General features: G+C 34.3%; 1 protein-coding gene and 1 long non-coding RNA gene across 6 annotated transcripts in view; one reads left to right on the forward strand and one right to left on the reverse strand.

Annotated features, from left to right (window-relative positions):
* LOC101927179 (uncharacterized) overlaps window positions 1-14,584 on the forward strand; it is a 65,504-nt gene that overhangs the window by 13,161 nt on the left and 37,759 nt on the right. The window lies entirely within an intron of this gene.
* The window catches only part of NFXL1 (nuclear transcription factor, X-box binding like 1), a 67,435-nt gene continuing 55,578 nt past the window's right edge, over window positions 2,728-14,584 (reverse strand). For 2 of the 4 annotated variants that reach the window (NR_103795.1, NM_001278623.1), the window contains 4 exons: window positions 10,554-10,658; window positions 7,351-7,437; window positions 6,590-6,643; window positions 2,728-3,831 (listed from right to left, as the gene is read on the reverse strand). Coding sequence is in view for 3 of the 4 variants with exons in the window: in NM_001278623.1 (NP_001265552.1) it covers window positions 3,658-3,831; window positions 6,590-6,643; window positions 7,351-7,437; window positions 10,554-10,658 (420 nt within the window). In the remaining variant the exon portion in view is untranslated. The remainder of the gene's footprint in view (window positions 3,832-6,589; window positions 6,644-7,350; window positions 7,438-10,553; window positions 10,659-14,584) is intronic. The other 2 variants (NM_152995.6, NM_001278624.2) reach the window with 1 other exon arrangement.

Raw genomic sequence — 14,584 nt, forward strand, 5'->3', positions numbered from 1 at the left:
CCTTAACACTCAACTTTTAGTTAGTACAGGTAATAACTTGAGTGTAGTGTATCTGATTTAGAGCTTCTGAAATGCCAACCCTGTAATTCTACCACTGGGAAAGGTTAACAATTCTAAAATCAAAACACCCATGAAGAAAGGAATGACTGTCCTTTAATTCTGGACACCAGCTAATACTTAGGGCCAGGCGCAGAGGCTCATGCCTGTAATCCCAGCACTTTGGGAGGATGAAGTGAGCAGATCACTTGAGGCTAGGAGTTCGAGACCAGCCTGGCCAACGTGGTGAAACCCCATCTCTACTAAAAATACAAAAAAAAACAAAAACAACAACAACAACAAAAATTAGCCGGGCTTGGTGGCACATGCCTATAATCCTAGCTACTTGGGAGGGTGAGGCACAAGAATCACTTGAACCTGGAAGGCAGAGGTTGCAGTGAACTGAGATCATGCCACTGCACTCCAGCCTGGGCAACAGAGCGAGATTCTGTCTCAAAAAAAAAAAAAAAAAAAGAATATGACACTAAATTTTGAATTAGATCCAGCATAATTTTAAAATCCTTCCTACTTCTGCAATCAGGCAGGAGAAGGAAATAAAGGGCATTCAATTAGGAAAAGAGGAAGTCAAATTGTCCCTGTTTGCAGATGACATGATTGTATATCTAGAAAACCCCATCATCTCAGCCCAAAATCTCCTTAAGCTGATAGGCAACTTCAGCAAAGTCTCAGGATACAAAATCAATGTGCAAAAATCACAAGCATTCTTATACACCAATAACAGACAAACAGAGAGCCAAAACATGAGTGAACTCCCATTCACAATTGCTTCAAAGAGAATAAAATACCTAGGAATCCAACTTACAAGGGATGTGAAGGACCTCTCCAAGGAGAACTACAAACCACTGCTCATTGAAATAAAAGAGGATACAAACAAATGGAAGAACATTCCATGCTCATGGGTAGGAAGAATCAATATTGTGAAAATGGCCATACTGCCCAAGGTAATTTATAGATTCAATGCCATCCCCATCAAGCTACCAATGACTTTCTTCACAGAATTGGAAAAAACTACTTTAAAGTTCATATGGAACCAAAAAAGAGCCTGCATTGCCAAGTCAATCCTAAGCCAAAAGAACAAAGCTGGAGGCATCATGCTACCTGACTTTAAACTACACTACAAGGCTACAGTAACCAAAACAGCATGGTACTGGTACCAAAACAGAGATATAGACCAATGGAACCGAACAGAGCCCTCAGAAATAATGCCACATATCTACAACTATCTGATCTTTGACAAACCTGACAAAAACAAGAAATGGGGAAAGGATTCCCTATTTAATAAATGGTGCTGGGAAAACTGGCTAGCCATATGTAGAAAGCTAAAACTGGATCCCTTCCTTACGCCTTATACAAAAATTGATTCAAGATGGATTAAAGACTTACATGTTAGACCTAAAACCATAAAAACCCTAGAAGAAAACCTAGGCAATACCATTCAGGACATAGGCATGGGCAAGGACTTCATGTCTAAAACACCAAAAGCCAAAATTGACAAATGGGATCTCATTAAACTAAAGAGCTTCTACACAGCAAAAGAAACCACCATCACAGTGAACAGGCAACCTACAGAAAGGGAGAAAATTTTTGCAACCTACTCATCTGACAAAGGGCTAATATCCAGAATCTACAAAGAACTCAAACAAATTTACAAGAAAAAACCAAACAACCCCATCAAAAAGTGGGCGAAGGATATGAACAGACACTTCTCAAAAGAAGACATTTATGCAGCCAAAAAACATGTGAAAAAATGCTCATCATCACTGGCCATCAGAGAAATGCAAATCAAAACCACAATGAGATACCATCTCACACCAGTTAGAATAGCAATCATTAAAAAGTCAGGGAACAACAGGTGTTGGAGAGGATGTGCAGAAATAGGAACACTCTTACACTGTTGGTGGGACTATAAACTAGTTCAACCATTGTGGAAGTTGGTGTGGCGATTCCTCAGGGATCTAGAACTAGAAATACCATTTGACCCAGCCATCCCATTACTGGGTATATACCCAAAGGATTATAAATCATGCTGCTATAAAGACACATGGACACGTATGTTTACTGTGGCACTATTCACAATAGCAAAGACTTGGAACCAACCCAAATGTCCAACAATGATAGACTGGATTAAGAAAATGTGGCACATATACACCATGGAATACTATGCAGCCATAAAAAATGATGAGTTCATGTCCTTTGTAGGGACATGGATGAAGGTGAAACCATCATTCTCAGCAAACTATCGCAAGGACAAAAAACCAAACACCGCATGTTCTCACTCATAGGTAGGAATTGAACAATGAGAACACATGGACACAGGAAGGAAAACATCACACACCGGGGACTGTTGTGGGGTGGGGGGAGGGGGGAGGGATAGCATTTGGAGATATAGCTAATGCTAAATGACAAGTTAATGGGTGCAGCACACCAACATGGCACATGTATACATATGTAACAAACCTGCATGCTGTGCACATGTACCCTAAAACTTGAAGTGTAATAATAATAAAAATATAATAATAATAAAAAAAACATATCTACTTTTTAGATACTTTTAGGTATCCATCAATGACTGTCTTCCACATGAAGTATCAGAATTTCATACATTGACACTAATGCCTAACTTAAAATTATAGGCTCCTGAATATTTTAGCTAATAATAAATATTCTAGATTACAAATTTGGTATCAAAAATTTTAATGAAAACATTAATCATATAAATTAAATAGCAAAACTATTTGAAAGGAATTATAATTCAAACAGATTTGACTTACTGATATTTCTCTATTTGTTTTCATAAGAACTGATTATTTTCAGCTGAAATCTATTTAAGATTGTGGTAAGGAGAAACGAGATTAAGGTACATAGACCTCATAAGCCCTGTTGTCAGCACATATTCTTCATAAATACTCATCTTCCTTTTATTATTTTTAAAAGACACGCAAGTTTTACGAAACATGCCAACTTCAGTTAAAAGCTTCTTACATAAGAAATAGCCACATGTGAGGAATCTAGCCTGGCATTTGTTGAAAATAACTATATATTCTGAAGAACACGCCCCATGACATTTATTGATAAAAATTCCTCACTAATAAACCAATTTCTGAAATCTAATTACATACCTTCATGTCACAATTTAAGAGGTCTGTTAGAGAATCACTTTTTTTAAAAAGCACAAAGTTAACAGTATCAAGAAAAGTACTCTATCATAAGTAACCAAAACATTAAGAAATATTTCTCTTACTGCAGATATGGCTCAGTCTCATCTGAATTATTTTTTTAAAAGTGTTGGTTTGAATTATTAAATGAAAAAACTAAGTACAAGGAAGCCCAATGAACAAAAACACGTTACTCTGCCTCTAGCTAAGCCTTATGAAATATTTTAGTTTCAGTCATGCCTTCACTTTAAAACAGTATTATACTGCCCTTTCTAGTATACTAATTAAGATAAAGTTTAACATTCTGTCCTTCTAACAACAGCTGAGAGAATACAGAGATGAATGTAAATATATATCATGTTCTATAATATACATTTTCTAATATTTCAAATTTAACAACTTATCTAAATCCAATCTGAGTTACATTAAAAGATCAAAACTTTTTTTAATTGACATCATGGGTGATGTACCAGGCAAACACTACAACCACAACTCCACACACTGAAATGAGATAATATTTATGTTTTTGCCATAGTGATAGCTCAACTGCCACTTCATCTCTTTTCCTGTTCTTCTTCCGACGACCCTTCAGTCTGTTTTCAAAAGCTTCTAGTTCAGCCTAAATAAAAACAGCATCATTTTAATTAAATTCAATGCATACATTGATTTGAAAGTTTCCATTTACATAAAAATCAATTTGGGTAATGTTTTAATAGTAATGATATATAGTCAATATATTGATTTGATTTTTTAAAACACTACTCTCCACTACTGATTGTATTCAACAAATTCAGGGTTTAGGTAAGCAGAAAGGAGACTGGGAGATAACAGAAGAGAATATTTCAAACTGTAGGGCTGACTATGATACTAAATATTAAAATGTCTGATTAGGCCGGGCACGGTGGCTCACGCCTGTAATCCCAGCACTTTGGGAGGCTGAGGCAGGCGGGTCACAAGGTGAGGAAATCAAGACCATCCTGGCTAACATGGTGAAACCCCATCTATACTAAAAATACAAAAAATTAGCCGGGCATGGTGGCGGGTGCCTGTAGTCCCAGCTACTCGGGAGGCTAAGGCAGGAGAATGGCGTGAACCAGGGAGGCAGAGCTTGCAGTGAGCCGAGATGGCGCCACTGTACTCCAGCCTGGGCAACAGAGAGAGACTCCATCTCAAAAAAATAAATAAATAAATAAATAAAATAAAACGTCTTATTAAATCAGGATGCTCTAAAATATAGACACTGGTCTTATACATTGACACCATTATACTTCAACCCAATTATTATAGAACCAGCATTCTATAAAGCTTCTAGCAAGTGCTGTGATGCCTAGTGAGAATGAAGATACCTATAATTCTAGTTGTTTACAATGCATGCAATAAACATTAGTGGCTTTTAAGAAAGAAATTCAAGTGAGTAAAGAGAAAAAAGCTGCCAGAACTCGATTCTTCTCTACCAAATACATTTTTTAAAAATAGTAAAAATTCTTCAAAGGAAAAAATTCTTCATGCTTTAAAATCAAAATGACTATTTTAGACATAAAAATTTTAAACTAGTACTAAAAGACGATAACTGAATTGCATTCAATATCAAATGGGGATTTTTATCCTACTGCTAAGTACTTATTAAACTTTTACACATAATAATGTAATATAATATGCTATAGTGCATAGGTAATTAAGACAATAGTTAAAATATATATGTATTTAATAATATCCACCTAAAACTTTGTAAATGGTTATTTAATAGGAGGAAATGTAAACTTTAGTTCACATATCCATTACTGTGGTCATAAACCACACTTGAAAAAGATCTAATAATAAACTTAGTTTAATACAAAGTGGCATTCTTCAATGAGCCAAAATGTCAGACTACTCCCAAGTGGTTAGTTTCTGACATATAAAAAACGTCAAAATATCTTAAAAGCAGGCAAACTTGAGGACTACAGACACAGTAAAATAACTGACAGTTAAATGGTGACTCACAGTCACCAAGTATATATTATGTGCTGTATACAGTGATCCCTCAGTATCTGTAGGAAATTGGTTCTAGGATCCCCTTGGATATAAAAACCTGAGGATGATCAAGTCTCTACATAAATAGTGGAGGATTTGCAAATAACACACAAACATCTTCTTGTATACTTTAAATCACTCTAGATTTCCTATAACACCTAATAACAATGTAAATGCTATGTAAATAGGTGTTACACTGTATTTTAAAATGCGTATTATTTATTTTTTTTTTTTTTTACTTGTTTTGAAACAAATTTTCGATCTGTGGTTGGTTGAATTCACAGATGCAGAACCTACATATACTAAGGACTGATTATATTCTGTTTAAAGAGTCAGTAAACAGGGAATGTATCTAAGATTTTCATCCATGATGATTTATAAAAAGATAGCAAAGGGAATAAGGAGAAAACATACTAAACTATTCTTAATAACTTAATCTCCTAGGATTCCAGCCAACTTATGTTTTACTATTTAGCTCTGATAACTTATTTTGGGGATATCAGGCAAATCAACTTTACAGAACCATAAAATCTCAAAGGTCACCTTGGCCAACCATTATTTACTACATGAATTGTTTCTAATGTTCCTAATTGTTCTAATTGTTCCTACAACTCATCAAAGTTTGAATTTCCTTATTCATGCAAATCACGCAAGTTTCAATCTCATCATTCATAAAGGCAGTAGCTTAGCACACAATACAATCTGATAAGTATAAAGCATTTCAAGATACAAACTGACAAATAATAATAAAAAGTTATACATCACTATTAGAAAGTCAAGCCACTCTTTCAAGTGTATGATCAATAAAGTAAATACTTAAACAGGGAGTATCAGGAATGTACTTGTTCTCTAGGTAACAACAAAGAACAGGTTATAATCCCGCATTTAAAGATCTAATAGGGAAATATGGGAATATATTATTAAAACAAATGTACTGATTAGTAAACTGCACTTATTTGTTATAGGTGGTCTGCAACTCAGTAAAATAGAACTCAAATACTTTTAGTTAAGTAAAGTCATGGTCTCCAGAAGATGCCTTACAATGGTGATGATTCGCTCACTCTCACTCCCCAGCCAAAGGAGGAATTAAAATTCTTCTGGCTGAAGTATGGATGATATTGGCAAGAAAGTAAATTGGAAATACAAAAAAAAAATTTGGGAATATATGAGATCTCATACCTTTTCAGAGTTTCAGTATACTTAAAGTCAAGTTAGTAGATGGCTCATTTTTGTTTTACAAGAACTGTTATTTTCAGTTCACAATAGAGACTAGACCTTAGTTTGACCTTGGAATATACCCCGTGTTTGCACAAAATCTAGCAATGATGCTAAGAGACATAAATCTGGGTATTTTGTTTGGTTACCTGTTGTCTTCGTTTTTCTTCTTCAAGAGCAGCTTTGGCTTCTGCTTCTTTTATCTGTTTATACACATACAAAAGTCAATTTACAATTTAGTCATCACATTTTATATGGAATTTTAACATCTACCCATCCAGGTTCTATTAACCCATATCAACTTTTAGGAGCTTGAAATCATTTAAAGAAATGTAAATGCTATACTGAGACAAGGTTTTACCAAGGCACTATCTAATAAATTGAAGGTGGTCATGGATGGAGTGTTATACCTTATATGAGCATCTCAGCTTAACAAGTAAAATCGGTATTACATCGTAATTCAAAGAGTTAAAACACTGTAACAGCAAATTTTAAAACTGCCTTTTTTCCTCTTGAGTTGCTGTATTAAGAATCTAGAATTAATTATTAAATACTGCTGTTTCTCTAGAGTTAAATTTATCTTAAATGTGCTATCATGGAAGGGAATCCTTACTTTCAAACAAAATCAAGAGGTCACTGATTGGGTTGATGGAGGGGAAGAGTAACACTAGAGATAACCCAAGCAGCAAAGAATCTCAAAATCTTATAACGGGCATAGAAGATGAAAAGCCTTCATATACACTAGGCAATGAAAATCCCAATCTGCCATTCAAAATAAGCCTATAAAACTAGGCTTTTATTATAAAAGCAAAAAAATGAGATTTCAAGTTGTTTTTAATAAGTACATAAATGCACAAAATAAGAAGGGAAAGGCCACTAGTCTTTAAAATGATATTTAACGAGACATTACCTCAGATGCTTTCCGCTTCATTTCCTTGCACGTTGTGTCACATTCTATTGAAACCTGATTTTCACGTACTTTGTTGCACTGCAATTCCTACAAACAACCCGATTTTCAAATTTTAAATGATTTTTCCCTCAAAGACCTGTCTGCCATAAAAAAGCAAAGTTCATCTGATAGCTTAAGGTTATAAGTATTATTTGATGTCTTAATATTTAATGATGATATAGTTGCAAGCATTAAATATCTGCTTCAAATAGTGATTACTTGCTTATTTTCTCTTAACTTAAAAAAGAGAATACCATAAAATTTTTAAAAATCAACTTAATAATTACTATGTGCCACTATTGGACTTAGCTCCCATGTTGTTTTTATTCTTTACTTTTCTTTATTGTTTGTTATTCTTGCAAAGTGTCCAGGGAATACAATGTTCTACAAATGTGCTGTCCAACAGAGCTTCCTGGTATGTGCGTGGGATGGAATGTTGTAAATCTGCATTAGTCCACAGAGTAGCACTAGCCACATATGGCTACTGAGCACTTGAAATGTGGGTAGTGAAAATGAGGAACCAAATTTTTAATACTGTTTTATGCTAATTCATTACAATTTGCATTTAAATATCCACATGTGACTAGTGGCTACCATCTCAGATAGTGCAGCTCTAGAGAGTTTTCTGGGGAGCTACAAATTTTTCTCTCGACTGTTAAACTTTTTTTAAGTTTAGATGAAAATTGTTCTAAAGCTTATGTTGGCACTTCACTACCTCCTTAATGAAAGAACACTGATCTACTGTTTTTGATGTCTTGACATCAAAACTATGACCAATTTCTGTACTACGACAGAATAAAACGATGACCTACTGAGTTGAAGAGTGGTCTTTATATTAGTTTTAGACTGCCTTTTGTAGTACATCTATCTTTTATTCATTCATTTATTGCTGCCAATGTCACTTTTACTCTCAGTATATTTAATTTGTATCAGTTTCTCCTGTCTCACCAGACCCTCAGACTCTAGTTTTTTGTTCAAATCTACCACAGCTTAGACATGAGATTACCAAATCCTGAGTAAAGTGCATTTAGTAAAAGCATTTTATGGCATGGAATTTTATTACTTGGAGGGTTTTTTTTTTTTTATTCCTTAGTTCTTCATTTTTGGCTTGATTTAGTGATAAACATAGTCTTGTCCTCCAAAGACAGTCCAGACATAAGAAAATTAACATGAACAAACACTGGAGACAAAAATAAGTATCGTGTGTTTATAGACATTAAGTCCATCAGCTTAGAAGAGGATTTTATCTTTTCTCATTCAGAGGATACTTACAGAGTGCCTATAACATGCTAAACACCATGACAGGGAAATGGAACACAGTAAGAAATAAACAGTATAATCATCTGTTAAGTGCTAAATAAATAACAATAGTAATTGCAGCTACTATTTATTACACATAGCATTGTTTTAAATGCTATGTAAGCACTACCTCTTTTATAGTAATGGCAGCTACTATTTATTAAACATAGCATTGTTTTAAATGCTATGTAAGCACTACCTCTTTTATTCCTTTCAATAAATCTCTATAAACTCTATTTTACAGATGAGGAAACAAGGTTACAGATACCTAGAATCACAAAGCTCTACATTATGAACCCAGTACAAAGAAAGTCAAGAGGAAGGAACAGCTAAGCCTTCCCAAGGGAACCTGGGGAAGGAAAACCTTCTCAAACAAGGAAGTGCTTCCAATAAGTATTAGCAGGATTCTAGTAAGCAGAGAGCTAAAGGAAAAACATATTGTATTTTACACAGGAAAAAAATATATATACATTGCCACAGCCTAAGCTAAGCGAGGGTACAATATATGTATTAGGGCACTTAAGTAACAGATTCACAGAGATGATTGCTAGATGACGAGACTGAACAAGCAGGCAAATGTCTTATCATAGCCTCCCTGGTATGCCGAGTCTGCATATACCTACACATACACATTTTTTATACAATGCACTTTTTCCATAAGTGATGAAGAGCCATTGAAGAATTTAGAACAGGGAAGTGGTGTGACTAGAGACAAGGAAATGGGTCACGAAGTTGTGGCCAAAGCCCAGAAAAGAGTTGTTCCAAAGTACTAACGGGTGGGTGGCATATGGCACTTGGACAAGACATGAGATTTCAGAGAAAACTTAAGAGACATCTCACATTAAAAATGGCTTGACCAAGTATTTATTTTCAGGTACAGGGGGTCAATTTAAATATCTAAAACTTAAAGATTCCACTCCCTAAAAGGCCAAGTGTATAAATTTAAATTCAGAAGTTCCCTATCCTAGGAAAACATATCAGAAACTATGAACATAAATGAAAGGCAAAGGACCTATAAAAGATCCTCAATACATATCCATCACATGGATGAATAAAAGCGAATTTCAAGAGACAAAAAAGACAAGCTTTAGGGAATGACAATAGGAATATGAAGGAAAAAAAAGGAGTTACGACTATAACTGAGATAGGGTAAATCAGAGGTCAAAAAAGTTGGTTTCAAAGGAGTAAGCACTGCCAACAGGGAAGATCAAGGAAACAGAGAATTGAGAAAAAGACTATTAGGACAGTATATTTTCCTTCATAAGTTTTGTTGAGCAGTATATAGTTTGTTTCCATCAGGCTTTGTAATCATTAGTTTTTGCCCATTTACTCCTCTGTTACCATCATTTTATCTTAAAATTAGTTCTTTCCAAGTTTACATGTTATTTTACTTTATAAGGCTATTCATATGAGGTCTTTTTAAGGCAATATTTTCAAAGGACAATACTGATGGTAAAAAGAATTTCATAAATAACAGCAACAAAGTTAATCTCAAGCCATTTCTTAAGCAATGAAACATTCTACCCGTTACATTGTGTTCCTTGTTCAAAGACCTCAAATCTAAAGCACATTGACCAAAACAGGGCATTGAATTTGGTTCCAACATAAAAAATAATTTTCCTTTTACTGTTAAATTGCAGAAAATTAAATCGCCAAAGCTTATGTTTAAAATAAATGTTTAAAGAACTAGTAGGCTCATTTCAATAATAAAAAAGTTCTATGAAGTAAAACCTCAAAATTAAAAGGCAAAAAAAAAAAAAAAAGCCAAACAACTACCAAAACACATAGATCAAAAAACAAGAACAAGAAAACCACACAAAAACAACTTATATAGAAAAGTATTTTCAATAACTTAAAATATTTACCTTTTTTATTCTTTTACAAGGACATCTAAGTTTTACCTTCTGGTTGCAGTTAAAGGGACATTCACCAGGATGACACATCTCTTTGCATCTATGACCACAAGGAAGCTAAAATAAAATCAAAATAAAGCAATTACATACTTACATCTTGATCATACTCTAGTTTCCCCCATACCCCAACAATTTTAAGAGAGTCCATCACACAAAGGGTCAATCAATCCTAGCTAATGGGATAATTTGTAAACTATTTTTCTTTTAGATATAAATTATTTTAATTACACTTATATAATTTAATTATATATATATAATTTAATTATATTTAATTATTCTCCCCAGCTCCATTCCAACAGTACATCTTACAGCCACCCTTGTAGCTAGTTATAGCCATATAACTGAGTTCTGGTCAATGGAATGTAAGCAAGTACAGGTGATTCATGCTTCAGATCATTTCAAGAGTATACTTCCATGTTCTTCTCTTCCCCATGTCCTGGATATGATGAAAGCTGGAGCGGTAATGGAAACCATATGCCAAAGAGAGCAGAGCTGCCAGCTGACTTGGATTCATGGGTGAACACATGGAATACAATGACACACCTACCTTCCCTGTACTGCACTGTGGGAAAAAAAACAAAAAAGAAAATGCCCTGTCCTTATACGGTGTTATAACTGTTTAGCCTTTTATTCTACAACATTTACCCTTTCTACTAATATTAAAAAAATATTATTTAGGTAGCCAAAACAACTCAGTAATTGCCATGATGTTTATGCTCCGTGTCTTTAATTGTTTACTGTCTTCCTATCCTAGTCAAGCATTAAGATGAAATGTTCATGGTCTCTCTGTCTATTCAAATCTTATCCACACTTTAAGACATGACTTAAATCACCATAATGGCCTGATATAAATCTGCCTATACATAAATACATAATAGTAGTTAAGAAATCTGTTTCTAAACTGTTGTAACATTGCTTGTGGTGTCTTGAAATTTTGCAAAAAAACAATTTTTTTTAGGCACTTCATATATTTCTGTCTCTCCAACCCTAACAAATAAAATACACTATTTGTTAGGGGTTAAATGTCAAAGTCAGACTACCTGGAACTGAGTCCCAGATTACCTGTTTACTAACTACAGGATCTTAGACAAGTCACCTGACTTCTCTGTGTTTCACATGTAAAATTTCACATGTAAAAGAGTATTAGTACTTTATAAAGCTGTTGTGAGGATTAAATGAGTTCAGTATATTTAGTTATTATAATAAAAGTTGTTATTATTATAAGTTCCTTGAGGGCAATGGTCAGACAGTCATCAACTTACGGTGGTGTAACTTAAAACAATTTTTCAGTTTTACAATGGATTTAATCAGGACATATGCCCACCATAAACTGAGGAACATCTGCATTTCTTTGTGTCTCTCATGTCATAATCCCTAACAAAGATCCCTCCCAAATAGTAGAACCCTCAGTAAACATTTAAATTCTCTAATTACTGATCTCTATGATTCACCAGATTGATTTTTCAAACTACTGACTCCACTCAAAGAAATTTAGAATCCTTTTCCATTGTCTTTAGTCTCTTTCTAGTGTGTGATTAGGTTTTTTGTTCTTTAACTTTTAGCTGAGGCATTCATACTAAAACTAAATTCAGATCACTCACACTGTGCACTTCCACTAATCCTACTATAGGGCAGAGAACTGCTATTAATAGAGTAAGTCCAGGTATTTCTGAATGATTTCAGTTTTGTTTTTCCCTTTATCTAATACTGGACACTGAATACTACTTAATAAGCTCAATATTTATTCATTTTCAAACACTTACCTCACAGTGGTTGTTTCAAGCCTTTGTATTGCTTAATTTCATTCTTACCTTCATTCCTGCCAGTGCCTTTAGCCAGACTTCATAAACATTTGGCATTAGCTCACCACTTATTCTTACTCTCAAAATACGTCTCTATATCCTCTTTCCTTAATTAATCTCTAAGGTAATTACATTAGTCATTTTCTCTTAAAAAGTAACTAACCCTTCCACTTCAAATTTATTATATATTTATTGATACATAATATTTGTATGTATTTATAGGGCACATGTAATTTTCTTACATACATAGAATGTGTAACGATCAAGTCAGGGTATTTGAGGGTATTTATCATCTTGAGTATTGATCACTTCTATGTTTTGCAAACATTTCAAGTCCTCTCTTCCAGCTATTTGGAAATATACCTTAATCAACATCACTTCATCCCCTTCCCCCAATCCTTCTCAGTCTCTGATATCTATCATTTAAATCAATGATTCTATAGGAGAAAGTGAATAGGGAAGCTTATCAGATTCAATAAAGGAAGACCTTTTGAAAATACATAGGATCATGGCTATAGTGTCGCCTTTCACTTTAATCAGTATTCTGTTGCGCTGGGGGTTGATGAAAAGTTAAAAATCACTGGTCTTGATGTTATATCTTTCTGCCTCCTAAAAGACCTCATACTCATCTTCACAATTTCATTGACGACTTCAAAGTCTGTCTTTTCTCTGGCTAGGTCTTCTGCCTTCAATAAATGTATCTTTTTTTCTCTAAACCCTTCATTTGACCCTGCCACATACTGGTAAAATTTGTAGAAGACATACATTGGGATGGCTGCCTGGTTCACCATAATTCCCCCAGTAGCCACAGCCATGGCTATGCTACCTGTTCTAGTTCCCTGACTGTGGCTGCCTGTGCCAAAAGGAGCCCTTGGATCCATGGTGAGTCTATTAGGTTTTCTCTCTCGGGAATCTAAAAACTTAAAAGAGCGAGATGGTGGTTTAAGTAGTCATCTCACTGTAAAGCCCCCTTAGGATGCAGAGATCCTGCCTTTCCCAAAGCTTGACTGTATAGCATTTCCTTCAGAATCTGTGAATTGCTCCCCAATGTCTTCCATATACTCCCCACAACGTCTTCTCTCTCCTTTTTTTCCCATAAGTAAGCCAAAATTGATTCTGCAATTTGCAACTAGGAAAACTGAAACTCATCTAGGTGTACACTGTGCTGGTATCCAACATATGTCCCACAGGCAAAAGTAACACCTCTAATCCTGAAAACGTATTCAAACTCACCAGTAATCAGAGAATGTAAATTAAAACCACAATGAGATGCAAAAAGACTGGCAAAAATAAAAAATGCTGACCACACAAAATGTTGGCAGGGATGCGAAAGAGGAAGAACTTTCATCAATGGGAAGTTGAAAAACTTTCTGATACTTTTCAGTAACTGGAAAAGTTACTGATTATAAATTGATACAACCATTTTGGAAATCAATTTGATATTATTAAAGTTGAAATTAAACATTCCCTATGACCAAGCAATTACACTACTGCATGCCTACAGAAATCTGTGCACATATGTACCAGGATGCAAAAGCAAGAATGTTCACAGCAGTATTTTTGATAACAACCACATTTGGAAATTATTCAAATGTCCACCCACAGTAAAACAAACTTATACAATGGAATCAGTGGACTACAGCATGTAGCTGTTAAAATGCAATTAAAAATGACAAACATATATAAGCAAGTCACAAAAGTGCATACTTTTAAACTTTTAACATTGGCAAACAATATTGTTTGCAGATATATATACTGGTAGTAAAAACTGTAAATAAAAGTAAGGAAAGGATTACTATAAAAAGGCAATGGTGGTCACCCTATAGGATAGAGGATGGGAACTACAGTCAGACAGGGACCTTGGTAAACTTCTGGTATGCCAGCATTACTTGATTTTTTGGCCTGGGTAGAGTTAACATGGTATTCACTTTTTAACTGTTAAACTATACATATTTATATTATGTATTTTTAGGTATATATGTGATATTTCATTGCTTAAAAAAATTAAATCATGTGATCATTTTCCTGTTAGATGTGTAAGTAAGTATATGTCATCTCAAAAGCCAGGTTATATTCTGAAAAAACTGAAAAGTAGTTACAAAGAAAGTTGACTTGAATGCATAAGATAAAATGATGGTTATCTTTACTACAGATTTCATAGCAAAAAACAGAGGTCTTTCT

The sequence above is a fragment of the Homo sapiens genome, chromosome 4 (assembly GCF_000001405.40).
Source record: "Homo sapiens chromosome 4, GRCh38.p14 Primary Assembly".
Taxonomy (NCBI): Eukaryota; Metazoa; Chordata; class Mammalia; order Primates; family Hominidae; genus Homo; species Homo sapiens.